Consider the following 26,347-nt stretch of genomic DNA (forward strand, 5'->3'; position numbering starts at 1 on the left):
ACAGATCAAGACTCCATCTCAAAAAATAAATAAGTTACTGAAATGTTCAATTATAGCCTAGGAAAAATAAGTATTTTCTGAAAGAAACAGGACACTATTCCTACAGAGTTTTATACACATTCTAATGGAAAATTTCAAAACTAGCTAAAGATCTTCATTAAGAAAAGAATGTTTCACTTTCCTACCAAAAATAATGTTCAAAAGATACCTACCTTTAATTATGCTTACAGAATTTTTGTAGATGATCCATGCCAACTCGCCCTTAAGGATTTCTTCAGAATAATCAGGATTCTCCTAAAGAGTGTTATATCAAACGTAACTTAACAGGTAGTACAAGGAGGAAAAGCACTAGGACGAAAATTAACAATCCTAGACTACCTGTGCCATATGACCACTGGTAAATCATGTCTCTCTCTCCGGGCCAGTTCCCTCACTTGTAAAGTGTGCAGCTTGAACAAGATCACTGACCTTCCAACTGTGTTCTCTGAGGCTCCAAGAGTGGTGGCAAGATCACATGGCTTAAGGCCTCACTCTCCATTTGGACCAAAACAGGTCAGATTTTACATGTCTTGTTTGCGCTTCTCTGTAACATTTTATTTGAATAAAAAAGTCCTGGCCTGGCGTGGTGACTCATGCCTATAATCCTAGCACTTTGGGAAGCCGAGGCAGGCGGATCACTTGAGATCAGGAGTTCATGACCAGCCTGGCCAACATGGCAAAACCCCATCTCTACTAGAAATACAAAAATTAGCCGGGAGTGGTGGCGGGCACCTGTAATCCCAGCTACTTCGGAGGCTGTGGCAGGAGAATCACTTGAACCCGGGAGGCGGAGGTTGCAGTGAGCCAAGATCGTGCCAGTGCACTCCAGCCTGGGCGACAAGGAGCAACACTCCGTCTGAGAAAAAAGTTCTAAGCTGGAAACCACAATAACAGACAATAGCAAAGTTTCTTCTCAGCTCTAACATTCTAAATCTTTTAATTATTCTGTCATATAAAAAATTATATAAAAAGGGAAAGAAAGAAGGCCAGGAAACCACACATTTCACAACCTTTCTCAAGCTCCTTGAATCCATTAATATATCACTTTATGAGATCATACAGCGTTAAAGAATAGTATTTGGCTATTCTGTAAGTAACAATTTTGAGAACCACATTAATTAGTCCAAATATCTATTTTTATAGCATAAAGCTTCATTTTCCTAACTAAGTCCATTTATAAGTAACACTAACTCATCTGGAAGTTTCAAAATGTAACAACATTAAACATTAAAGCTTGAACCCGGAGGCAGAGGTTGCAGTGAGCCAAGATGGTGCCACTGCACTCCAGCCTGTGTGACAGACCGAGACTCCGTCTCAAAAAAAAAGAAAAAAAAAGAAAAATATATTCCAAATATTTTCTCTTACTCCTAAGCAGGCTCAAAATGTTATACATCGTTAGCAAGTGAGAATAAAATAATTAGAACCTTACCACATCCATACTGGCTTTTTCAAATTCTTCCTTCTCCTTCCTCAGTTTTTCAGCATGCATCAGCTCCATCCTAAAGTACTACAGAAGAGAAATAAACTGAAAATCTTTGGAGATGCTTTTTAAAATTTTTTTGAGACAGGGTCTTGCTCTGTCACCCAAGCTGGAGTGCACTGGTGATGACAGCTCATTTCGGCCATGAATTCCTGCACTCAAGTGATCCCCTTGCCTCAGCTTCCTGAGTAGCTAGGATTAGAGGTGCATTCCATCACACTCAGATAATTTTTTTATTTTTATTTTTTGTAGAGACAGGATCTTGCTACGTTGCTGCCTGGCCTGAAACAACTGACCTCAAGTGATCCTCCTGCCTCAGCCTCCCAAAGTGCTGGGATTAAAGGCATGAGCCACCACACCCAGGCTTAACTTTCATTTAAGAATTAAATAGCAGGCTGGGCACGGTGGCTCATGCCTGTAATCCCAGCACTTTGGGAGGCCAGGCGGGCGGATCACTTGAGGTCAGGAGTTCGAGACCAGCCTGCCCAACATGGTAAAACCCCATCTCTACTAAAAATACAAAAGTTAGCGGGGCATGGTGGTGCACACCTATAATCCCAGCTACTTCGGGGGCTGAGGCAGGAGAATCGTTTGAACCCCGGGCGTGGAGGTTGCAGTGAGCCAAGAACACACCATTGCACTCCTGCCTGAGCAACAAGAGTGAGACTCCATCTCAAAAAAAAAAAAAAAAAAAAAAAGAATTAAATAGCAGTTTCTCTTTTATCCTGACAAATGACTCAGAAAACAGTGCAGCTTCCAATACATTCTTTCTCTTATTTGGGATTTTATCTAAAGCTTGGCCCTCAAATGTTCTAAGGCACCATCCATAAGGGAGTAAGTCCCCGAAGAGAGAAAGGAAGTACTACCAGGTATCTATCTCAAGAAAAGGAGACAGAAAGAACATGGAGAAAAGAGGAAGACAAGGCAAAGAAGCCAGAAGAGGGCTTCTTTGGAGAACCAAGGGAACAAGAAAAAAAAATAAAAACAAAAGTATAAAGAGGCTAAATCTGGCTCCCAGCTAAAAAAATGTTAGAGTCTAGTTCCCTATTCCTTCCAACCACAGGAAGGAGGCGGGGGTTCCAACCTCTCAACTAACTTAGAAGCTGCAGTGTCAACACCTACAAAAAGATGTTTTTCCCTGGCCGGGCATGGTGGTTCACACCTGTAATCCCACCACTTTCAGAGGCTGAGGCAGGCAGATCACCTGAGTTCGGGAGTTTGAGACCAGCCTGCCCAACAGGGCGAAACTCCATCTCTACTAAAAATACAAAAATTAGCCGGACGTGGGATCCCACCTACTCAGGAGGCTGAGGCAGGAGAATTGCTTGAACCCAGGAGGTAAAGGTTGCAATGAGCCAAGACCGGGCCACTACACTCCAGCCTGGGAAACAGAACGAGACTCCATCTCAAAAAATAAAAAAGATGTTTGTCCTTACCCACACCTCCACACTTATTCCTAGCCTCCATAAATTGAAGCCTTTTTTATTTAATAAAGAATACATGGGCCGGGCGCAGTGGCTCACGCCTGTAATCCCAGCACTTTGGGAGGTGGAGGCGGGCGGATGACCAGGTCAGGAAATCGAGATCATCCTGGCTAACATGGTAAAACCCCATCCCTAATAAAAAATACAAAAATTTAGCCAGGCATGGTGGCAGGCACCTGTAGTCCCAGCTACTCGGAAGGCTGAGGCAGGAGAATGGTGTGAACCCAGGAGGCAGAGCTTGCAGTGAGCCGAGACCGTGCCACTGCACTCCAGCCTGGGCAACAGAGCAAGACTGTCTCAAAAAAAAAAAGTGAAACCAGCCTGGCCAACATGGCAAAACCCCGCCTCTACTAAAAATACAAAAAAAATAGCCAGGTATGGTGGCGGGCACCTGTAATCCCAGCTACTCGGGAGGCTGAGGCGTAAGAATTGCTTGAATCCAGGAAAAAAAAATATGTCTCCAGAGGACCAAACTGAAACATCACTGTCTCATCCTATGTGCATACACACTCACTTCTTTATAAAGTTTTGGGCACTCTGGATGAAAGCGCAGTGCGCGAAGAAATAGTTGCCTTGCGCTTTCTGAAGACAATCGATCTTCCATTTCCCATTTGGCTGCCATAATCCACAAAGCTGTAAGTGAAAAACCATCAGATTTCATTTCAATAAATTAATCAAGTCAGACAAGAAAAGAACCAAATGATCCAATTTTAATACTCGCACAATTTTTTTTTTTTTTTTTTTTTGAGACAGTCTCACTCTGTCGCCCAGGCTGGAGTGCAGTGACGCAATCTCGGCTCACTACAAGCTCCGCCTCCCAGGTTCATGCCATTCTCCTGCTTCAGTCTCCCGAGTAGCTGGTACTACAGGCACCCGCCACCATGCCCGGCTAATTTTTTTTGTATTTTTAGTAGAGACGGGGTTTCACCATGTTAGCCAGGATGGTCTCAATCTCCTGACCTCGTGATCCGCCCGCCTCGGCCTCCCAAAGTGCTAGGATTACAGGCATGAGCCACTGCGCCCGGCCCACTCAAACAATTTTTTAAAAAAACCTTTAACAAAAGGGGAAGCAGTTCGGACAGACAGTTTCTAACTGCAAAGCTTGGCTACGTTATCTAAAATTAGAAACAGTATTCTGAAGCAAATGAGTAAATGATAACAAATGTTCAATTTAGAGGATGAGTACCTAAGTGTCTGTTACTGTTTTCATCAGATCTAAGGACATTATTGTAAGTCACATACAATTTTTTTCTTTTTTTGAGACAGGGTCTTGCTCTGTTGCTCAGGCTGCAGTGGCACAAACAACAGCTCACTGCAGTCTTCACCTACCAGAATCCCACCTTAGCCCCTCAAGTAGCTGGGACCACATGCATACACCATCACGCCCACCTAAATTTTGTAACTTTGTAGAGATGGGTTTTCACCATGTTGCTCAGGCTGGTCTCAAACTCCTGATCTCAAATGATCTGCCTGCCTCGGCTTCCCAAAGTGCTGGGATTATAGGCATAAGCCACCGTGCCTGGCCCACATACAAATTTTAAAGGTAGTAAAATGCCAGAAAAAGGCCAGGCACAGTGGCTCACACCTGTAGTTCCAGCACTTTGGGAGGCCGAGGCAGGCAGATCACTTGATGTCAGGAGTTTGAGACCAGCCTGGCCAACATGGTGAATCCTCGTTTCTACTAAAAAATACAAAAAATTAGCCAGGCGTGGTGGCACCCTCCTATAGTCTCAGCTATTACGGAGACTGAGGCAGAAGGATCACTTTAACCTGGGAGGCAGAGGTTGCAGTGAGCTGAGATCACACGACTACACCCCAGCCTGGGCGACAGAGCAAGACTCCATGTCAAAAAAAAAAGTCCAGAAAAAACTGCTTATCTTACCACAAATAAAATTATTTTTTGCTCTTTTCTCAATATTTAGAGAAATTATAGGGCAAGCCACAGTGGCTTACTCCTGTAATCCCAGCACTTTGGGAGGCTGAGGTGCACAGATCGTTTGAGGCTGGGAGTTCTGAGACCAGTCTGGCCAACATGGCGAAACCCCATCTCTACTAAAAATACAAAAATTAGCCAGGCGTGGTGGTGCACATCTGTAATCCCAGCTACTTAGAAGGCTGAGGCATGAGAATCACTTGAACCCAGGAGACAGAGGTTGCAGTGAGCTGATATCACACCACTGCACTCCAGCCTGGGCAACAGAGGCAAGACTCTGTCTCAAAAAAATAAAAAATAAAATAAATTATAATTCATAATTTTCTCTAAAACCCTTTGTCCTTCTACATGGGAAATTAACCCTGAGTTAACATTCTAGCTATTTCCCTAGACATTTAATAAAGGTCACCTATCTTATCAAGATTGCTTTTGTTAAAAATGACGCCTGATTGGTAACCACACCTGGAATAGAAGGGTCAGCAATGGTGGCAAGCAATTGCTTTGGGCTTCCTTGAACATGTGACTCCTAAAATTGAGCATGACCTTTCTAGGATCTGTAGAAGCCATGCCCATCCATGGGGCTTCTAAACCAGACTGGATCCCCTACCTACTGATATGATCTCATCTCCTCATACCTGAACAGTCACCTTAGGAACCAGAGGCTACCTCCATTCTGCTAAGAGCATTCTGCAGAAGGAACATACCTAAGGCTATCCTGCTATATTTCTGAGTAAACTGGTGCCAAATGTAGTCTATTTGAGTCTTGTGTGGTATAAGATATCTGATTAAGCCTAATACCCTGAGAATAGGTGCTGAGGCCCCTCCACTATCAACTAGACCATTTATACATTATTCACAAGAGAAATATTTCTCTTACAAAACATGAGTCTACTCTGTACCAGCACTCTTCTAAAATTTATATTGATATTTTCCCCTTTAAGCTTCTAAAATTCCTCAGATTTGACTGCCTCCAAATAAAATGTCCCACAAAGGATTCAAAAGTTTATTTTGCCATCATCTAAAAAGAAATACAGTCTGGCCGGGAGTGGTGGCTCACGCCTGTAATCCCAGCACTTTGGAAGGCCAAGGCGGGTGGATCACGAGGTCAGGGGTTCGAGAGACCAGCCTGACCAACGTGGTAAAACCCAGTCTCTACTAAAAATACAAAAATTAGCTGGGCGTGGTGGCGGGCACCTGTAATCCCACCTACTCAGGAGGCTAAGGCAGGAGAATTGCTTCAACCTGGGAGGCGGAGGTTGCAGTGAGCCAAGATCACACCACTGCCCTCCAGCCTGGGCGACAGAGCGAGACTCCGTCTCAAAAAAAAAAGAAATACAGTCCTTCTTGCCTGCAGATACAACACCTAGGACAGTAACTAGTATATAGTAGGCAGGGGTGAACTATGAGGCAGCTATTCAGTAAGAAAAACTGCTGAGGCCAACTGCCTAAGCTCAAGTCCTCAAAATAATTTCTCTTAGATTCATCAATCGAAATAAAATCCAAAATGGCTTGAGTCTAAATAAAACATAGAAAAATTGACAAAGATTTCACCATACCTGGTTTGTTGGAATGAATCGCCAACATGGCAGAGAATACCTTGCTAAGTCGAGTTTTAGTAGCCTGTAAAAAAGGAAAATATTTCTACTTCCTGCACAGATAAATCATTGATCTTACTCTCTAAGTAATATGTACCCTAACTTTACCAACTGTAAAATCCAATGGAGCATGACATGCTATTGCTAGGGATATATAAACGAACACAGACCCTCAAAATTTTCTACCTCAATTAAACCACTAAACACTTTAAATATCTTTTTAAAAAGTCAACTGTATTGAACAAACACACGTAAAAATTATATTCTTTTCAATTGAATTGGAAACCATAGTCATTCAGATATCCAATGTTATATTGATGTTCCGCCTTCTTGGGTTCTTTTTTCATGTTAACCCTACACTTCAGGAAAAAACATCTGGCATGAAGCTTAAAGGGCAGATTAACAAAAAGACGGTCAGAGGAAGCAAGACATGCATGGCTTTACTCACCCACTTCTTACAAAAAGCCACATAGGAGAGCCAAAGTTGAACATCGTCCTGCAAGAAAAGCAATGTAGTAAGCTGCCCAAATTTGACCTTTACATATAATACACCTTTGCATTAATTAATTTTGCTAAAAACAAGCAAATTTCAGGTTGGATGCGGTGGCTCACACCTGTAATCCCACCACTTTGTGAAGCCGAAGCGGGCGGATCACTTGAGGTCAGGAGATTGAAACCAGCCTGGCCAACATGGTGAAACCCCACCTAACCTAAAATTACAAAGATTATTGGGAGGCCAAGGCGGATTGATCACTTGAGGTCAGGAGTTCAAAACCAGCCTGTCAAATATGGTGAAACCCCGTCTCTACTAAAAATACAAAAAAATTAGCCGGACTTGGTGGCAGACCCCTGTAATCCCAGCTACTCAGGAAGTTGAGACAGGAGAATCGCTTGAAGCCGGGAGGCCGAGATCGGGCCACTGCACTCCAGCCTGGGCAACATAGGGAAGCTCCAACTCAAAAAAACAAACAAAAAAAATTAGCCAGGTGTGGTGGTATGTGCCTGTAATCCCAGCTACTAGGGAGGCTGAGGCAGAAGAATCACTTGAACCTAGGAGGCGAAGGTTGCAGTGAGCTGCCGAGATTGTGTGCCACTGCACTCTAACCTGGGTGACAGAGCAAGACTCCACCTCAAAAAAAAAAAAAAAAAAAAGCCAGGCACAATGGCTCAGGCCTGTAATCCCAGCACTTTTGGAGGCTGAGGCAGGTGGATCACCTGAGGTCAGGAGTTTGAGACCAGCCTGGCCAAGATGGTGAAACCCTGTCTACTAAAAATACAAAAATTAGCCAGGCGCGGTGGTGCGTGCCTGAAGTCCCAGGTACTGGGGAGGCTGAGGCAGGAAAATTGCTTCAATCTGGGAGGCAGAGGTTGCAGTGAGCCAAGATCACACCACTGCACTCTAGCCTGGGCAACAGAGCAAAACTCCATCCCCCACCAAAAAAAAAAAAAAAAAAAAAGAAGCAGATTTCAGAAAATCCAGTCACCTCTCATCCTATCTGGCTCTTCCTCACAAAGGCCTCCGATCTCTTAACTATGATAATTCAACCTTTCCCCCAACTCCCACTCACAATGCTCCAAAAAAACTTTGTTATCTATCCAGTTGGTTTAATGCAGTTCTTAAAGAATCTCAATCTGGGGTAGCAATATAAAATTTGTCATTACCAAGAATCCAAAATACTTCTCATATAATATACCCAATCCCAAACACTCCCGTAATCCCAGCACTTTGGGAGGCTGAGGTGGGCAGATCACTTGAGCCCAGGAGTTCGAGACCAGCCTAAAAAACATGACGAAACCCTATGTCTACCAAAAATACAAAAATTAGCCAGGCACGGTGGCATGCGCCTGTGATCCCAGCTACTGGGGAGGCTGAGGTGGGAGAATCATTTGAGCCTGGGAGGCAGAGGTTACAGTGAACCGAGATCACCCTACTGTACTCTAGTCTGGGCAACACAGTGAGACCTTATCTCAAAAAAAAAAAAAAAAGAAAAAAAAAAAAATCAAGTTTCTGAGGTATTGCCCCTACATAACCATTTATTTTCTAGCTCTAAGTCTTCAGTGTACTTACAAATATATACAAATATCTCCCAAATTTCCAATCCTTAGTAATGTATCAAATACACTGTTTTCAGCACTGTCCTCATAGAATAACTATAAGGTAATAAGATCAATTTTCTTACTGGTTTGTTAAGTGGCTCAAAAAATGTTTTGAGTAATGATACCATCATTAGAGTAAGTATAAAGATACCCAAGATAAAAATAGAAAACTGCATTTGAATCCCTAATACAATATGTATAATACTTATCTTCACATCTCATAAAGTTAAGGATGCCTTGATCACTCACTTTCCATTTTGCTGAGGCACGCTGGAAAACACCTTGTACCCGGTGTACAATAGAATTCTCAATCTCATCCTTCTTAAATGAATATCCAATGCGCTAAAGGGGGACATAAAAAAACAGAGCCTCAACTTAATCATATTTGTCCAAAACAGCATTCCTACTTGACCACTTAATGGTACTGATGAAGCAAACAAATAATTACAAATATCCATTATAGGCATATCACCACAGTTTTATCAACACTGTCTCCCAAACACAAGTCCTAACTATACAGCCATACTGCTTAGTTCTGTATTTTTCTCCAACTTCTAGAAAATCTTCTACTTACTGTTCTTCTTCTCTGGATCAGCTCCAAAAGATTAATTTCATACTATGAAAGAAAAACATACAAAAAAATGAGAAGCTAGAAAATCTAAAACCTTTTAAATACTGGAAATTTAGTTAAAGTCATAAAACAAAAATCGAGAATATAAAATAAAAAATAATGTGCTATCACATAATTTACAATAAATGTCTAGAACTCACTTAAAATTCACTTAGCTATAAAACTTAAACAGAATTAACAAGCTTATAATTACATGCTTCACTTAAAAATTATTCCATGAAATATTTCAAGCATATAAAACACCCCATGCAGCTACAATGCAGCTACACCAAACCTACATTGCACTACATTTGCTTCAAATCTTTTTTAGAAATAAAACAGTTCGTATAAAAATGAAGCTACCTATGTACCTATCTCTGATTCTACTCTTCTCCCTCTCCAGAGGCAGCAATTACCTTGACTTTGTTATCATTCCCAAACATGACTTTGGACTTTATTATAATGATGTCTTGAATGCCTTTAAATTTTACATAAATGGTATCATGCTACATCCATCAATCCATAGGTGTTTTGTTTTGTTTTTTTGAGACGGGGTCTCCCTCTGTCGCCCAGGCTAGAGTGCAGTGGCATAATCTCGGCTCACTGCAACCTCTGCCTCCTGGCTTTAAGAGATTCTCCTGCCTCAGCCTCCCGAGTAGCTTGGATTACAGGCGCCTGCCACCATGCCCGGCTAATTTTTGTATTTTTAGTAGAGATGGGGTTTCACCATGTTGGCTAGGCTGGTCTTGAACTCCCGACCTCGAGTGATCCACCCACCTTGGCCTCCCAAAGTGCTGGGATTATAGGCATGAGCCACCGTGCCCGGCCCATCAATCCATATTTCTACTCAACATTATCCCTTTAGCTATATCCCTATTCACCGAGGCTGGTGGTGTGTGCCTGTAATCCCAGCTACTTGGGAGGCTGATCAGGAGGTAGAGGTTACAGTCAGCCGAGATCATGTCACTGCACTCCAGCCTGGGTGACGGAGCGAGACTCCATCTCAAAAAAGAAAAAAAAAAAAAAGTTTGCTCTTATAATGAATATAAAGCAGTCCTACACCTGGTTTTTTTTTATTGTTTGTTTTTTTGAGATGGAGTCTCGCTCTGTCGCCCAGGCTGAAGTGCAGTGGCGCAACCTAGGCTCACTGCAACCTCCGCCTCCCGGATTCAAGCAGTTTTCCTGCCTCAGCCTCCCCAGTAGCTGGGATTACAGGTACGTGCTACCGTGCCTGGCTAATTTTTGTATTTTTAGTAGAGATGGGGTTCCACCATGTTGACCAGGCTGATCTCCAACTCCCAACCTCAAGTAATCCACCCGCCTCAGCCTCCCAAAGTGCTAGGATTACAGGCATGAGCTACCGCGCTCGGCCCCTACACCTTGTTTTAATCTTTATTTAACTAATTACTGATAAGGCTGATGTCTTTTCATAAGTTTAACTACAAGTGATGTTTCCCCTTTGTGACTTTCACGTTCACATGATTTGCCCATTTTTCTTTTTAGTTTTCATTTTCTTCTCGATTTACAGTTCTTTATATATGTGTATATGTAGTTCTAATTATGTGTTGTAAATATTTTCTCACATTTTGTGGCTTGTATTTTCACATTATTTGTAGTGTCTTTTTTGCACAGAAAAAAATTTTTTTTTTTTTTGAGACAGGGTCTCTATCACCCAGACTGAAGTGCAATGGCGCCATCATGGCTCACTACAGCTTCCACCTCCCAGGTTCAACTGATCCTCCCACCTCAACCTCCAGAGTAGCTGGGACTACAGGTGTGCACCACCATGCCCAGCTAATTTTTGTATTTTTTGTAGAGATGGGGTTTGCCATGTTGCCTAGGCTGGTCTTGAACTCCTGGGCTCAAGCGATCTGCCTGTCTCACACGTGAGCCGCCACGCCCCTCCAGAAATTTGTATTTTGAACACAATCAAATAAATCAGTCTTTTCTCTCATGGTTTGTGCTTTCACAGTCTAATTTAGCTTTAAGAAATCTTTTGGCTGGGCACACTGGCTCAAGTCTGTAATTCCCAAAACTCTGGTACGGCAAGGCAGGAGGATCACTTGAGCCCAGGAGTTCAAGACCAGCCTGGGCAACATAAGGAGACCCTATCTCTACAAAAAATAAGAAAATTAGCCAGCCATCTGGCACAAGCCTGTAGTCCTACCTACTTGGGAGGCTGAGGCAGGAGGATCATCTGAGCCTAGAAGTTCGAGGCTGCAATGAGTGCTCGCACCATTGCACTCCAGCCTGGGCAAGAGTGAGTGTATTATTTGGAAAAAAAAAAATCTATTTTTGACATAATATGGTCTTGGCTCATTTTGAGTGAGCAATCTACTCATAGGACCTCTTCCAAAAACAATAGCTTAGCCAAGGTTCATATATTGTTTGTTCGGCTGTCTTTTGTCTTTTTAAATCTAAGCTCAAAACTTCTAGTCTTTTTTTTTTTTTTTTTTTTTGAGATGGAGTTTCGCTCTTGTCTCCCAGGCTGGGAGTGCAATGGCACAATCTTGGCTCACTGCAACCTCCACCTCCTGGGTTCAAGCAATTCTCCTGCCTCAGCCCCTGAGTAGCTAGGATTACAGGCACCCAACACCACACCCGGCTAATTTTTGTATTTTTAGTAGAGATGGGGGTTTCACCATGTTGGCCAGGCTGGTCTCGAACTCCTGACCACAGGTGATCTGCCTGCCTCAGCCTCCCAAAGTGCTGGTATTACAGCATGAGCCACCATGCCCAACCAAAACTTCTAGTCTTATAAACATGTGATCTTGTTATTGGTTCTTTCTGAATCCTGATTCCGTCATCCAACATATTAGCTATTCTCCCCCACTGGAAAATTGGTCTGACATAATTTTTCTTTATTCAAACCTTCCATGCATTTACAAGATGAAAAAATCTTGCAGTACACCTCTTTCCAAGTGGACAGACAATAGATAAACAAGCAGTAACTTTTCAATTCTCTACACTCATCACATTCACTCTCCTCTATCTTGCTCACCAAGAGGCAAATCTCTTGCTGAAGTCCTGATACACACTATGTCTCTGACAATCTCTGATCTACAAACCCAGTAGAAAAAAAAAAGAAAGAAAACGACAAGAGAGAAAGAGGAGGGGAAAAGTAAGTTCAGTTTGGCCAGGACTACAGTCTTAGTGGAGTAATGCTACTCCCAATGCTACTCCTGTTCAGAAATATCTATCTAATGAACGTTTCTGGAATTCTTTTAATTTTTTTAAAAAACTGATGTTGGCCGGGCGTGGTGGCTCATGCCTGTAATTCCAGCACTTTGGGAGGCCGAGGCGGGTGGATCACCAGGTCAGGAGTTCAAGACCAGCCTGGTCAAGATGGTGAAACGCTGTCTCTACAAAAATTAGCCTGGCGTGGTTGTGGGCACCTGTAATCCCAGCTACTCAGGAGGCTGAGGCAGATAACTGCTTGAACCCAGGAAGCGGAGGTTGCAGTGAGCCGAGATCGCACCACTGCACTCCAGCCTGGGCAATAAGAGTGAAACTCCATCTCAAAAAAAAAAAAAATTTGATGTTAAGCTCATCATTCTAGAACTGATTTTAAATTTGTGAAGGAATGGGAGGCTGAGGCAGGAGAATCACTTGAACCCAGGAGGCGGAGGTTGCGGTGAGCGTGAGCAGAGACTGTGCAACTGCACTCCAGCCTGGGTGACACAGAGAGACTCTATTTCAATTAATCAACCAATCAATCAATTTGTGAAGGGATTAAAAAGTAAGGCTAGGACCGAGCATGATGCCTCATGCCTGTAATCATAGCACTCGCTTTGGGAGGCCGATGCTGGTGGATTGCTTGAGGCCAGGAGTTCGAGACCAGCCTAGCCAACATGGCAAAACCCAGTCTCTACTAAAAGTAGCTGGGTGCGGTGCCATACGCCTGTAATCCCAGTTACTGAGGAGGATGAGACTTGAGAATCACTAGAACCCGGAAGGCAGTGGTTGCAGTGAGCCAAGATCGCGCCACTGCACTCCAGCCTGGGTGACAGAGCAAGACTCTTGTCTCAAAAACAAAAATAAAAAAAGTAAGGCTGGGCCCGGTGGCTCACAAACACTTGTAATCCCAGCATTTTGGGCGTGGGCAACATGCCGAAACCCTGTCTCTACAAAAAACACAAAAGCTAGCCAGCCATACTGGCACACACCTGTAGTCCCAGCTACTCCAGAGGCTGAGGTGGGAGGATGGCTTCAGCTCAGGAGGTGGAAGCTACACTGAGCCATGATGGCACCACTGCACTTCAGCCTGGGTGAAAGGCGAGCCCCTGCCTCAAAAAAAAGTAATGAAATTATTAATTATTGGCCGGGCACTGTGGTTCACACCTGTAAGCCCAGCACTTTGAGAGGCCAAGGTGGGTGGATCCCTTGAGATCAGCCTGGGCAATGTGGCAAAACCCAGTCTCTACCAAAAAATTAGCCAGGCATGGTGGCATGCATCTATGGTCCCAGCTACCCAGGAGGCTGAGGTAGGAGAATCGCTTGAGCCTGGAGGGCAGAGGTTGCAGTGAGCAGAGATCACACCATTCACACCACTGCACTCCAACCTGGGTGACAGAGTGAGATGCCATCTCACCAAAAAACAAAAAAGAAAAAAAGAAAGAAATTATTAATTACACACTTACTTGAACATAATTGATAAAGTCTTCCTTGAAAAGGGTTCTTCTCTGGATTTTGTACTCTAGATCGGAAGCCTTCTTAATGATAGCCCTGAGGAGAAAGCCATTTAAACTTCACTTGAAAACTGCAAAAATTAAACGTTTAAGTTTATTTTGAATATATTTAAAACATGTTTTTCAAAATACGAAATTCCTAGAGTTATCTTTCATAAGAAAGTATTATCGGCCGGACACAGTGGCTCATGCCTGGAATCCCAGCACTTTGGGAGGCTGAGGCGGGTAGATCAAGAGGTCAAGAGACTGAGACCACCCTGGTCAACATGGTAAAACTGCATCTCTACTAAAAATACAAAAATTAGCTGGGCGTGGTGGTGCGTGCCTGTAGTCCCAGCTACTCGGGAGACTGAGGCAGGAAAATTGCTTGAACCTGGAAGGCGGAGGTTGCAGTAAGCCGAGATCGCGCCACTGCCCTCTGGCCTGGCGACAGAGCAAGACTCCATCTCAAAAAAAAAAAGTATTCTCTTACACAATTACTTTTGTGTTCTTAAGGGTTCATTTTTAAACTTTCAGGAAAATCATCTTAATCAACTCCCAAAACCAATGACATTCCCACCAGCAAAGCAAATACAATTAAGAACTTTATACCATTTATGTATGGTGTTTTTTTTGTTTGTTTTTTTCTCGCTCTGTCGCCCAGGCTGGAGTGCAGTGGCATGATCTTGGCTCACTACAACCTCGGCCTCCCGAGTTCAAGCGATTCTCCTGCCTCAGACTCCCGAGTAGCTGGGACTACAGGCGCTCACCACCACGCTCAGCTAATTTTTGTATTTTTAGTAGAGACGGGGTTTCACCATATTGGCCAGGCTGGTCTCGAACTCCTGACCTCGTGATCCACCCACCTCGGCCTCCCAAAGTGCTGGGATTACAGGCGTGAGCCACAGCGCCTGGCTGGTATTAATAAAGACTTCTTTTACTCCAAGTTCAGGTCACTTAAATTTTAATAATAAATTTCTTTCCGAAATTCCTCTTATTTCTGAGTTCTCAACATGTAAATTTTTTTAAAAATCTAAATTGCGTCTGCCTTAAAAGACTTATTACTACGAAGGACTTACGGGAGAAGATTCAGAGTCCTTAGCTAAGGAATGAACATATGACAAATATATATTAGGAGAATTTAATGCAAGATGTGCAAGACAGGTGTCTTTAGTAATGGTAACATTAACCTTAACTGAGCACTTTCTAAGCGTCCACACTGCTTTGTTTTGTGTTTCATTAACGAATGCTTACTTTGAAGCTCTGAGTCACATTACTACATTCAGACGTTGCAAAACAAAGCAACAGTCACAGAAACCATTAAAAACTATTAAACATAATTTTAACACGCTACTGAATGTCTACCATGTGCCAGGCGCTGTAGTTAGGCTCTGGAGTAGCATATGAAACTGATTTCAATGGTCCCCACCTTCAAGTCTAGTTAGGAATTTATCCACTCCCCCTGGGCTCTCACAGCACTCTGTTCCCATCCCTACAGCAGTACAAGGTACTACAATCAACTTACAGTACACTGTTATCAAAATATTTAATTTGTCTGTCTCCCCCACCACACTCTGCCCAATTAGCTCCTAATGAGCAGGAATCCTGGGTTTATCACCTTTACAGCCCTAAGACCCGGCTCCATGAAGGGCTGTCAAAACGTCTGATGGGTAAGTAGACGGACGGATTACCTTGCAACGAATGAAAAATTAATTCTGGACATCACCGAAAACGAGAAATGGGCTTCCACCACGTTAGGAAAAGTAAACACAGGTCGAGCGTCCCCACATCTAGCCCCTGCCACACACTCCCAACCTCCCCTCAGGCCGCCTCAGCTCTTCCCTCTCCCCAACCCTCTCTCACTTAATCTCCGCATGACTGAACAGTCCAATGCGCTCCAGCTGTTCCAATTCCGGGAGCCGATCTTCTATGCGTTCCTGAATTATCTCTGCCATGAGGTCCGAGGTCTACAACCCCGCGGGTAGCTTCTCAACAGCGAACACGAGCAGGAAGCTCCCGGTTTCAGGTTCGGAGACCCAGCCCTACCACCGACGCGTCCGGACGTAACGTGCTCCCTAGGTCCCGCCTTTTCCGCTTCCGCCACCTCCTACTTAGGGGAAGGCCCTTCGGCTTCTACAGCCACCGTCCCCTCCCTGTGGCCGATTGTGGGATTGCAGCGAGAACCCGCCCTGGTCTTGGGCAGGACGACTCTAGCGGACAGGAGTTGAGGGGCGGGGCTAGACGGGAGGGAGGGGTTAAGTGCGCGCGCCGCTAGACTTGGACAGCCATCAGGAAAAGCGCCTCCAGGTGTAGAGAGGTGGGCTGCTCAAGCCTGAAAGGGACACGAGATGCATTTTCTTCAGAATATTGTCTCCCATCCCACGTCCTGACTTCCCAACACCAAGAACAACAACAAAAAAAAAAGCAAAGGAGGAGGATATTGTACAATTAAACATTTTTGAAAGCCGGTCGCGGTGGCTCATGCCTGTAATCCCAGCAGTTTAGGAGGCCGAGGCGGGCAGATCACCTGAAGTCAGGAGTTCGAGACCATCCTGGCTAACATGATGAAACCCCGTTTCTACTAAAAATGCAAAAAAATTAACTGGGCGTGCTGGCACGCGCCTGTAATCCCAGCTACTCGGGAGGCTGAGGCAGGAGAATCGCTTGAACCTGGGAGGCCGAGATCGCGCCATTGCACTCCAGCTTGGGCAACAAGAGTGAAACTCCGTCTCTAAATAAATAAATAAATAAAATAGAATTGTTTATTATTTAAATCAATATCCTGTCTTTGTAAGCAATAGCTTTCAAAATATATGTCCCTAGGTGAATATCAGACACTATAAATTCTTTTTAGAAAAGGAGATTTTTGTATTGAAAAGTTTGAGAATTACCAAAATAAATCACTAAGGTATAGACACCCTCCTTAAACCATTGCCCAAGCAACTTAGCATTTCTAAGAGAAACACCAGGCAACACAGCTTGGAGGCAATATTGCTGGTATAGTTAGTAAACCTCAAATGATAACTACATGGTTCAGTTCTTTTTTAGTTCTGGATATAAAAAAGCCAAAGCAGCAGTTCTTGCTAAATCTGCTTATTTCAACATTCACATTAGCACCTGGATCCTGTGTGTGATTTATGAAAGGAGAATGGGCTCAGCAAAACCATGTTCCACCTCTGTGCCTTGCATTTCTTTCTTTCCTTTCACATTTTACCCACTCATCTCAGAACTGAGACGAGGGTTGGCTTGTGCTACACCATTTCTTGAATCCTTCAGCTGTAAGACATGTCAGAAGTGGAAGGAAATCACGAATGTAAGACAAAGATAGAATTTATTTGTAAAAGTAAAATCTCTGGGGCTGTGTTAACAGTAAGAGTGGAGATGACACTAGATAGTAAACTCCATATGGGCAGGGAATTTTTTCCTTTTTGACTGGCTAGATACTCTACAGCTTATAGCAGTGCCTACCATATAATAAGTACTCAGTTAATAAATGCATGACACTAAGAAAAGGTACTTGCTAAATTTCTTTAGGTACAAGGAAGTCAGCAAGTTATGACAGACTGTAATCATTTCAAAGTAAATTTGATAGAGACCTTCATAAATTAACCATGATTTTTATTTTATTTTATTTTATTTATTTATTTAGAGACAGAGTCTCGCTCTGTCACCAGGCTGGAGTGCAGTGGCGCGATCTCGGCTCACCACAACCTCGACTCCCCTGGTTCAAAGGATTCTCCTGCCTCAGCCGCCCGAGTAGCTGGGACTACAGGCACGTGCCACCACACCCAATTAATTTTTGTGTTTTTCGTACATACAGGTTTTCATCATGTTGGCCAGGATGGTCTCAATCTCCTGACCTCATGATCCACCCGCCTCAGCATCCCAAAGTGCTGGGACTCCAGGCGTGAGCCAACGCGCCCGCCCAATTTTTAAATCAAACTAACTATAAATACGCTCCTCCTTTATATTGTTTTGTTTTGTTTTGTTGTTCTTTTTAAGACCGAGCCTCGCTGGCCAGGCACTGTGGCTCACACCTGTCATCACAGCACTTTGGGAGGCCGAGGCCACGGATAACCTGAGGTCAGGAATTCAAGACCAGCGTGGCCAACATGGAGAAACCCCGTCTCCACTAAAAATACAAAAAAATTAGCTGGGCCTGGTGGCCTCTCTCTGTTGCCTAATGGGGAGTGCAGTGGTGCGCTCTCGGCTCACTGCAACCTCCACCTCCTGGGTTCAAGCGATCCCCCGAGTAGCTGGGATGACAGGCGTGAGCCACCATGCCCGGCCTAATTACGTTTTTGTTTTGTTTTGAGACAGGGTCTTACTATATTACCCAGGCTGGAGTGCAGTGGTGTGACCACAGCTCACTGCAGCCTCAACCTCCTGAGCTCCAGCAATGCTCCCACCCCCGCCTCCCAAGTAGCTGGGACTACATGTGTGCCCCACCGCACCTGGCTAATTTTCCTTTTTTCTTTTTTGTAGAGACAGGGGTCTCACTATGTTGCCGAGGATGGTGTTTTTGTTTTTGTAAATAGAGACAGGGTCTCACTGTATTGTCACCATGGTCTTGAACTCCTGGCCTCAAGTGATCATCTTGTTTCCCCTTCTCAAAATTCTGGGATTACAGGCATAAGCCAGCACGCCCAGCGATCCTCCCTTATTTTGAAATTTAGCTTTTTTTTTTTTGAGATGGAGTTTTGCTCTTGTTGCCCAGGCTGGAGTGTAGTGGCGTGATCTTGGCTCACTGCAACCTCAGCCTCCCAGATTCTAGTGATTCTCCTGCCTCAGCCTCCCGAGTAGCTGGGATTACAGGCGCCCACCACCACGACCAGCTAATTATTGTCTTTTTAGTAGAGACGGAGTTTCACTATGTTGGCTAAGCTGGTCTCGAACTCCTAACCTCAGGTGATCCGCCCACCTCGGCCTCCCAAAGTGCTGGGATTACAGGCATGAGCCACCACGCCTGGCCAAAATTTAGCGTTTATGTATATATTCTTGTTGTTGTTGTTGTTGTTGTTGTTGAGACGGAGTGTCAGTTTGTTGCCCAGGCTGGAGGGCAGTGGCATGATCTCGGCTCACTGCAACCCCCGCCTTCCCGTTTAAACGATTCTCCTGCCTCAGCCACCTGAGTAGCTGGGACTACAGGCGCACGCCACCACGCCCAGCTAATTTTTGTATTTTTGGTAGAGACGGGGTTTCACCATGTTGGCCAGGCTGGTCTGGAACTCCTGACCTTGTGATCGATCCACCCGCCTCCACCTCCCAAAGTGCTGGGATGTGAGCCACCCCGCCCTGCCTAGCTTTTATATTTACCTTCAAGAATTATTATGATGGGCCAGGCGCAGTGGCTCACATCTGTAATCCCAGCACTTTGGGAGGCCGAGGTGGGTGGATCACAAGGTCAGGAGTTCGAGACCAGCCTGGCCAACATGGTGAAACCTCCGTCTCTACCAAAAATACAAAAATTAGCCGGGCATGGTGGTGCGTGCCTGTAGTCCCAGCTACTCGGGAGGCTGAGGCAGGAGAATCGCTTGAACCCGGGAGATGGAGGTTGCAGTGAGCCAAGATCACGCCACTGCACTCCAGCCTGGGTGACAGACCGACACTCTGTCCCAAAAAAGAAAGAATTATTATGATGTTTTGGAGGCCAAGGCAGGTGGATCACCTGAGGTCAGGAGTTCACAACCAGCATGGCCAACATGGTGAAATACCCCCCCACTAAAAATACAAAAATTAGCTAGACATGGTGGCGGGAATCCCAGCTACTCTGGAGGCTGAGGCAGGAAAATTGCTAGAACCTGGGTGGCGGAAGTTGTAGTGAGCCATGATCACACCACTACACTCCAGCCTGGGAGACAGAGCGAGACTCCGTCTCAAAAAAAAAAAAAAATACTTGGGAGGCTAAAGCACAAGAATCGCTTGAACCCGGGAGGCAGAGACTGCAGTGAGTCGAGATCGTGCCACTACACTCCAGCCTGGGCAACAGAATGAGAATCTGTCTCAAAAAAAAAAAGAATTATTATGACAGAAATGACAAAGCCTTCTTTTCACTTCTGCATCTCATAATAATAGCTGTCATTGGCCCGGCGCAGTGGCTCACGCCTGTAATCCCAGCACTTTGGGAGGCCAAGGTTGGCAGATCACAATGTCAGAAGTTCAAGACCAGCATGGCCAGCATGGTGAAACCCCATGACTCTGTCTCAAAAAAAAAAAAAAAAGCTGTCATTATGTAGGGCTTATTGTGTGCCCAGCTACTATGTGCACTGTTCTAAGTCCTTTATGTTTTTTTGTTTTTTTTTTTGTGAGCCGAAGTTTCGCTCTTGTTGCCCAGGCTGGAGCACAATGGTATGATCTCAGCTCACTGCAACCTCGGCCTCCCAGGTTCAAGTGATTCTCCTGCCTCAGCCTCCTGAGTAGCTGAGACTACAGGCGCCCGCCACCACGCCTGGCTAATTTTTGTATATTTAGTACAGACGGGGTTTCACCATGTTGACCAGGCTGGTCTTGAACTTCTGACCTCAGGTGATCCACCTGCCTCGGCCTCCCAAAGTACTGGGATTACAGGCATAAGCCACCATGCCTGGCCAAAGTCCTTTATGTATTAACTCACCTAATAGCATCACATAAATATTTTGAAATATCAACTCATAGAAGGAGCCCTCAAAAAGAGAGATAGTACCTGAGATTGCACCACTGCACTCCCACCCAGGCAACAAGGCGAGACTCCCCTCAAAAAAAAAAAAAAAAAAAAAACTACCTACTGGAGAAAGCCCAAGACAGAAGAAGAAACTGTTTGCATAAAGCCCGCAATGTCTCAAAATCCTGGCCAGGTGCGCTGACTCAAGCCTGTAATCCCAGCCCTTTGGGAGCCCGAGGCCAGTGGATCACCTGAGGTCAAGAGTTTGAGACCAACCTGACCAACATGGTGACACCCCATCTCTACTAAAAATATAAAAATTAACCGTGTATGGTGGCGTGCGCCTGTAATCCCAGCTACTCAGGGGGCTGAGGCAGGAGAATTGCTTGAACCTGGGAGGTGGATGTTGCAGTGCTGGGATTACAGGCATGAGCCACCATGCCACTACGCTCCAGCCTGGGCGACCAAGTGAGACTCCATCTCCAAAAAAAAAATCTACACTTTATGGAAGTTACACTTTAATTAACAAAAAATTACTTACCAGACTCTCTCTTTCAACATATTGAAGCTCTTCAAGAGCTTCAATTGTTATTTTTATGTGTGTGGCAGGGTCAGAAATATTGAAACTCAAATGGTCAATGTCTTTTTCCCTTTCCAAAAGAGTTTATGATAATTTTGCTTTCTAGCCCATGATATATTAGTATTTGCTTTAATATAAATTATTTTTTTTCCAGATTGTAAGATTGATCACAGAAAGATGTACCCTGATCACCCCATGGTGACCAAACACTTGGTCCCCACTGTGGTGCTCACGAGCCAGTCTGGAAAATGAGAGGGGTCTCAGGGTGCCAACAGAATCTTTTAAGAAGATTGCCAGATGAACACTAGCCAGATGTTTGCAAATTAAGTTAAAATTTCTGTTCTTGCCTTCAAAGTACTTAAAAGTAAACTTCAAAGTAAACTTGAACTTTTCCTTGGAATATTCACATTGTCACATTTGAAGTTCTCAGACAGCTCCGTGGTTAAAAACAGCAGAGAAAGAGATGCTCATCTTTTTTTTCATTATTATTATTTGATAAAGGGAAGTACCTAGTTTGAGCCATAATAAGAGGCAAGGCACCTGGAATCCCATCCCCCTGCCTTGTTCCAAGTCCCCTGCCTGATTCTCCCATACAGAGAGCGCTTGTAGACTTCAAAGTCAGAGAAGTGATAGACGCAGACTGGTCTTTGATGCCTAAGAACATCAGAGCCCTCAGTTTGATGCGAATGCAAAGCATCTGTACTTTTCAAACCTTTCATGTTATCTCACATTGCCAACAACAAAAGCTGAAAAGTTTGAGGTGACACACTTTACACACATTAAAATATTTGGAACCAGTAACTTTTCATTTCTTTTTCTATTATTTATAGCTTCTTTTACTTTGCAAACCGCACTGGATAGTAAATTACTTCTGGCACGCAGCCTTGTCAGCTTGCCAAATTTCAACTGGAGCAAGTTTCTACAGCCAGGCTAATATGCCCAGAAAAACAGGAGGTAAGTATAATGGAAATAATGACATGATTTTTAACTGCAAAGAGCGTTGAATGATAACGCAAGATCTTAATAGATTCTATTTTTAAGCTTTTTTTATTCTAATGAAATCTTTACCTTTTTTAAGGCTATTTTAGTTTAAAACACATGTAAATAGAAAGGGTTCCTTTTAATTGGTGAAAAACAGTTTTGTGCTTTTTTCCCTGTGGCTTAAGTTACTGCTTTTTGCAAACTTGAAAAAAAAATACAAAAAGGAAAACTAAGAATATGGTAGTTTGGGTATAACAACCTACTATTAAAACAAACTGACATCTTGAAAAAACATATTCTGAAATGATTGGGCTTCCAGAATGGTGCCTGGGGATTGTTGTGTGCGTGAATATGTCTCATGAAAGCCATAGCTGATTAGCTACATCAGCTTACCTCCAGTTTGCCCTAGTCCAGATAGAAATCCAGCTCCAGCTTAAATAACTTTTAGGTTTTATTTGAACAAGACTTCCTAAAATTAAAAATGGCTATCACATCTGATTTCTATCACTGAAAAAACTTGTTAGGAGGCAGTATTTGTTTCCCTAAATTTAATGCTTACATTTGTTCCCATTCACAATTTACAAGTGACAAGGAAAATTCTTTCTCCCCTTCTCATTCTGCCTTCCAATTAGACCTAAACTGATTAGCCTCAGCACCACATGCTCAGTCCCAAAGTGTTGAAGCAAAGAAGAGGTTTGGAGTTGGGTGTGTGTGGGTGTGTGTGTGTGTGGGTGTGTGTGTAACTATACTAAAATAATGTGGCCTTGCTCCAGAAATGCCAGCTTTCTTACAGTTCCCCAATCATATCATTTTATACCTCTATTAACACACACTATTCCCTTTGCCTGGAATGTCTTTTGCCCCCTTATCCACTTAGTAAGCACAGTTCATTTAAAAAAATAAATAAATAAAAAGGAAGCATGCCCTTACCACCTCATCATCCCACCCTCACCACCAATTTGTATATTTAAGTACAGAAACATAAAGGCTTCAGTCTTTGAATCTCTTTTTCCCTTAATATCAATTTTATAAGTGATCTTTTACAGACTCATGACTTCAAATGTCACCTACATCAGTGCTGTTCAATAGAATTTTGTGTAATAATGGAAGTGTCCCACATCTGCACTATCCAATACAGTAAATACAGTAGCCATTAGCTACATGTGGCTATTGAGTACTTGAAATATGGCTAGAGCAACTGAGAACTGAATTTTTTTTTTTTTTTTGAGACAGAATCTCACTCTGTCGCCCAGGCTGGAGTGCAGTGGCATGATCTCGGCTCACTGCAACCTCTGCCTCCTGAGTTCAAGTGATTCTCCTGCCTCAGCCTCCTGAGTAGCTGGGATTACAGACACCCACCACCACACCCAGCTAATTTTTGTATTTTTAGTGGAGACAGGGTTTCCATGACCATGTTGGCCGAGCTGGTCTCAAACTCTTGACCTCAAAGTGATCCGTCCACCTCGGCTTCCCAAAGTGCTGGGATTGCAGGTGTGAGCCACTGCGCCCAGCCGAGAACTGAAGTTTTAATTTCATTTAATGAATTTAAATTTAAATTTAAATTGTCACATGTAGCTAGTGGCTGCCATGTTGGACAACACTGACCTATATAACTTCCAAATATATTAGTAGTGCCAATCCATAACTGTCCCCTGAACTCCAGACTCATGCCAGTATATCCAGCTGCCTACTCAACATCTGCACTTGGAGAGCTTACAGGCATTCCAAAATTAGTATGTCTAAAAACAAGTACCTGATGCTCTCCCACAAACCTGTTCTTTCCGTAGTCTTCCCCATCTCAGTGAAAGGCAACTCCGTTCTTCCAGTTTCTCAGCCCAAAAGCCTTGGAGTTGTCCCTGACTCTATATTTAATTAATCAGCGATCCTCTCTGCTCTACAAAATATAGCCAAAATATGACCACTCCTCATCACAGCTACTGCTGTCACCCTAGTTCAAGTCACCATTATCTTTCACCTGGATTATTCCAGTAGTCTTCAACTGGTCTCCCTGCTTTCACTCTGGCCCCTTTAAGTCTATTCTTAACACAGCAGCCAAAATGATTGTGTTAAAATATGTCAGAGGACAGCATTCTCTTGCTTAAAACCCTGCTGTGGTTGACTCACTCAAAGCAAAAACTAAAACCCTTTCATGGCTGGGTGCGGTGGATTACTCCTGTAATCCCAGCACTTTGGGAGGCCAAGGCAGGCAGATCACCTGAGGTCAGGAGTTCGAGACCAGCCTGATCAACATGGAGAAACCCCGTCTCTACTAATACAAAATTAGCCAGGCAAGGTGGCAAATGCCTATAACCCCAACTACTCGGGAGGCTGAGGCAGGAGAATCGCTTGAACCCGGGAGGCAGAGTTTGTGGTGAGTCAAGATTGCGCCATTGCCTGGGCAACAAGAGTGAAATGTTGTCAAAAAAAAAAAAAAAATCTTTTTGTTTGCAGAAAAGTTCCCATATGATCTGGTCCCGGTACCACACTCCTGCCATATCTTACCTTATTTCCCACTCTGATCCCTTGCTCCCTCCACTCCAGATCCACTAGCCTCTTTGGTATCCCTTCAACATGGCAATGCAGGGCCTTTGCCCTGGCTATTCCCTGCCTGGAATTCTCTTCCCCAGATAAATGTATGGCTCATTCCCTCACCACCTTCAGATTTTTCTCAAATGTCACTCTCTCAGGGAGGCCTCTCCTATTACCAATTGCAGCCCCTCACCTCAATACTTCTTATTCTACATTCTTACTTTTTGTTTCTCCATATCACTGATCGCCATCTAACATACTATAATAGTGTTTATTATTTGTCTCTCCTCATATGTACATTAAAGCATAAGCTCCATGAAATTGAAATTTTTTTTTTTTTTTTTGAGACAGAGTCTGGCTCTGTCGCCCAGGCTGGAGTATAGTGGCACAATCTTGGCTCACTGCAAGCTCCGCCTCCCGGGTTCACGCCATTCTCCTGCCTCAGACTCCTGAGTAGCTGGGACTACAGGCGCCCCCTACCATGCCCAGCTACTTTTAGTAGAGACAGGGTTTCACCGTGTTAGCTAGGATGGTCTCGATCTCCTGACCTCATGATCCACCTGCCTTGGCCTCCCAAGATACTGGGATTACAGGCGTGAGCCACCGTGCCTGGCTTTTTTTTTTTTTTTTTTGCAGAGGGATTTTTGCTGTTGTCACCCAGGCTGGAGTGCAATGGCGCGATCTCGGCTCACTGCAACCTCCGCCTCCTGGGTTCAAGCAATTCTCCTGCCTCAGCCTCCCGAGTAGCTGGGATTACAGGCACCTGCCACCATGCCTAGCTAATTTTTGTATTTTTAGTAGAGATGGTTTTCACCATGTTGGCCAGGCTGGTCTCAAACTCCTGAGCTCAGGTAATCAACCCGCCTCGGCCTCCCAAAGTGCTGGGATTACAGGCTGAGCCTCCAAGCCTGGCTGGAACTGAAATTTTTGAATGTATATTTGTATAATTGTACAGTACTACTTAGCTTGTATTATAACATTTCTTTTTTTTTTCTTTTCTTCTTTTTTTTTTCTTTTCTTCTTTTTTTTTTTCCTGAGACGGTGTCTTGTTCTGTTGCCCAGGCTGGAGTATAGTGGTTTGATAACAGCTCATCTCCTCCCAGGTTCAAGCAATTCTCCAACCTCAGCTGCCTGAGTAGCTGGGTTACAGGCATGCACCACCGTGCCTGTCTAATTTTTGTATTTTTATAGAGATGGGGTTTCACCCTGTTGGCCAGGCTGGTCTCGAACTCCTGACCTGAGGTGATCCACCCGCCTCAGCCTCCCAAAGTGCTGGGATTACAGGCATGAGCCACTGCCGATTACAACATTTGTGGTTTTTTTGTTTGTTTGTGTTTTTGTTTTTTGTTTTTTCAGATGGAATCTTGCTCTGTAGCCCAGGCTGGAGTGCAGTGGCACGATCTTGGCTCACTGCAACCTCTGTCTCCTGGGTTCAAGCAATTCTCCTGTCTCAACCTCCCGAGAAGCTAGGATTACAGGTGCCTGCCACCACATCCAGCTAATTTTTGCATTTTTAGTACAGACGGGGTTTCACCATGTTGCCCAGGCTGGTTACAACATTTCTTGAATCCATATGTCTGTATTTAGTGACACTGTGACTTCCATGGATACTTTATTTATCTTTGAATTCCCCAAAACCTAGCATTGGAAAACATTAGGTATGTACTCAATAAACACTATCTGAAAGGAAACTACTGGACATTTAGCATGCC

At 44.0% G+C, this 26,347-nt stretch overlaps 1 protein-coding gene across 4 annotated transcripts in view, besides 4 other annotated features; it reads right to left on the minus strand.

The window, feature by feature from the left end:
• Positions 1-15,941, minus strand: part of UTP6 (UTP6 small subunit processome component) — a 40,805-nt gene extending 24,864 nt beyond the window's left edge. For 3 of the 4 annotated variants that reach the window (XM_011524997.4, NM_018428.3, XM_047436391.1), the window contains exons 1-9: positions 15,769-15,941; positions 13,879-13,963; positions 9,203-9,244; positions 8,878-8,970; positions 6,980-7,027; positions 6,493-6,556; positions 3,518-3,636; positions 1,469-1,546; positions 213-294 (exon numbers count right to left, since the gene is read on the minus strand). In XM_011524997.4, the coding sequence (XP_011523299.1) occupies positions 213-294; positions 1,469-1,546; positions 3,518-3,636; positions 6,493-6,556; positions 6,980-7,027; positions 8,878-8,970; positions 9,203-9,244; positions 13,879-13,963; positions 15,769-15,860 (703 nt within the window). In that variant the 5' untranslated portion in view covers positions 15,861-15,941. Of the gene's footprint in view, positions 1-212; positions 295-1,468; positions 1,547-3,517; positions 3,637-6,492; positions 6,557-6,979; positions 7,028-8,877; positions 8,971-9,202; positions 9,245-13,878; positions 13,964-15,768 lie in introns of those variants that run through there. The other variant, XM_047436390.1, reaches the window with a different exon arrangement.
• Positions 4,176-4,355: an enhancer, noted in NCBI's record as "active region_12020". NCBI's record gives its function as "activates an Ori minimal core promoter by ATAC-STARR-seq in GM12878 lymphoblastoid cells {active_cell/tissue: GM12878}" and the evidence as "EXISTENCE:reporter gene assay evidence [ECO:0000049][PMID:35858748]".
• Positions 15,416-15,565: an enhancer, noted in NCBI's record as "active region_12021". NCBI's record gives its function as "activates an Ori minimal core promoter by ATAC-STARR-seq in GM12878 lymphoblastoid cells {active_cell/tissue: GM12878}" and the evidence as "EXISTENCE:reporter gene assay evidence [ECO:0000049][PMID:35858748]".
• Positions 15,609-16,200: an enhancer, noted in NCBI's record as "H3K27ac hESC enhancer chr17:30228395-30228986 (GRCh37/hg19 assembly coordinates)". NCBI's record gives its function as "activates a minimal SCP1, AML or CMV promoter by ChIP-STARR-seq in primed H9 embryonic stem cells {active_cell/tissue: H9 hESC(primed)}" and the evidence as "EXISTENCE:reporter gene assay evidence [ECO:0000049][PMID:30033119]".
• Positions 15,886-15,935: an enhancer, noted in NCBI's record as "active region_12022". NCBI's record gives its function as "activates an Ori minimal core promoter by ATAC-STARR-seq in GM12878 lymphoblastoid cells {active_cell/tissue: GM12878}" and the evidence as "EXISTENCE:reporter gene assay evidence [ECO:0000049][PMID:35858748]".

Source organism: Homo sapiens, chromosome 17 (genome assembly GCF_000001405.40).
Source record: "Homo sapiens chromosome 17, GRCh38.p14 Primary Assembly".
NCBI classification, from domain to species: domain Eukaryota; kingdom Metazoa; phylum Chordata; class Mammalia; order Primates; family Hominidae; genus Homo; species Homo sapiens.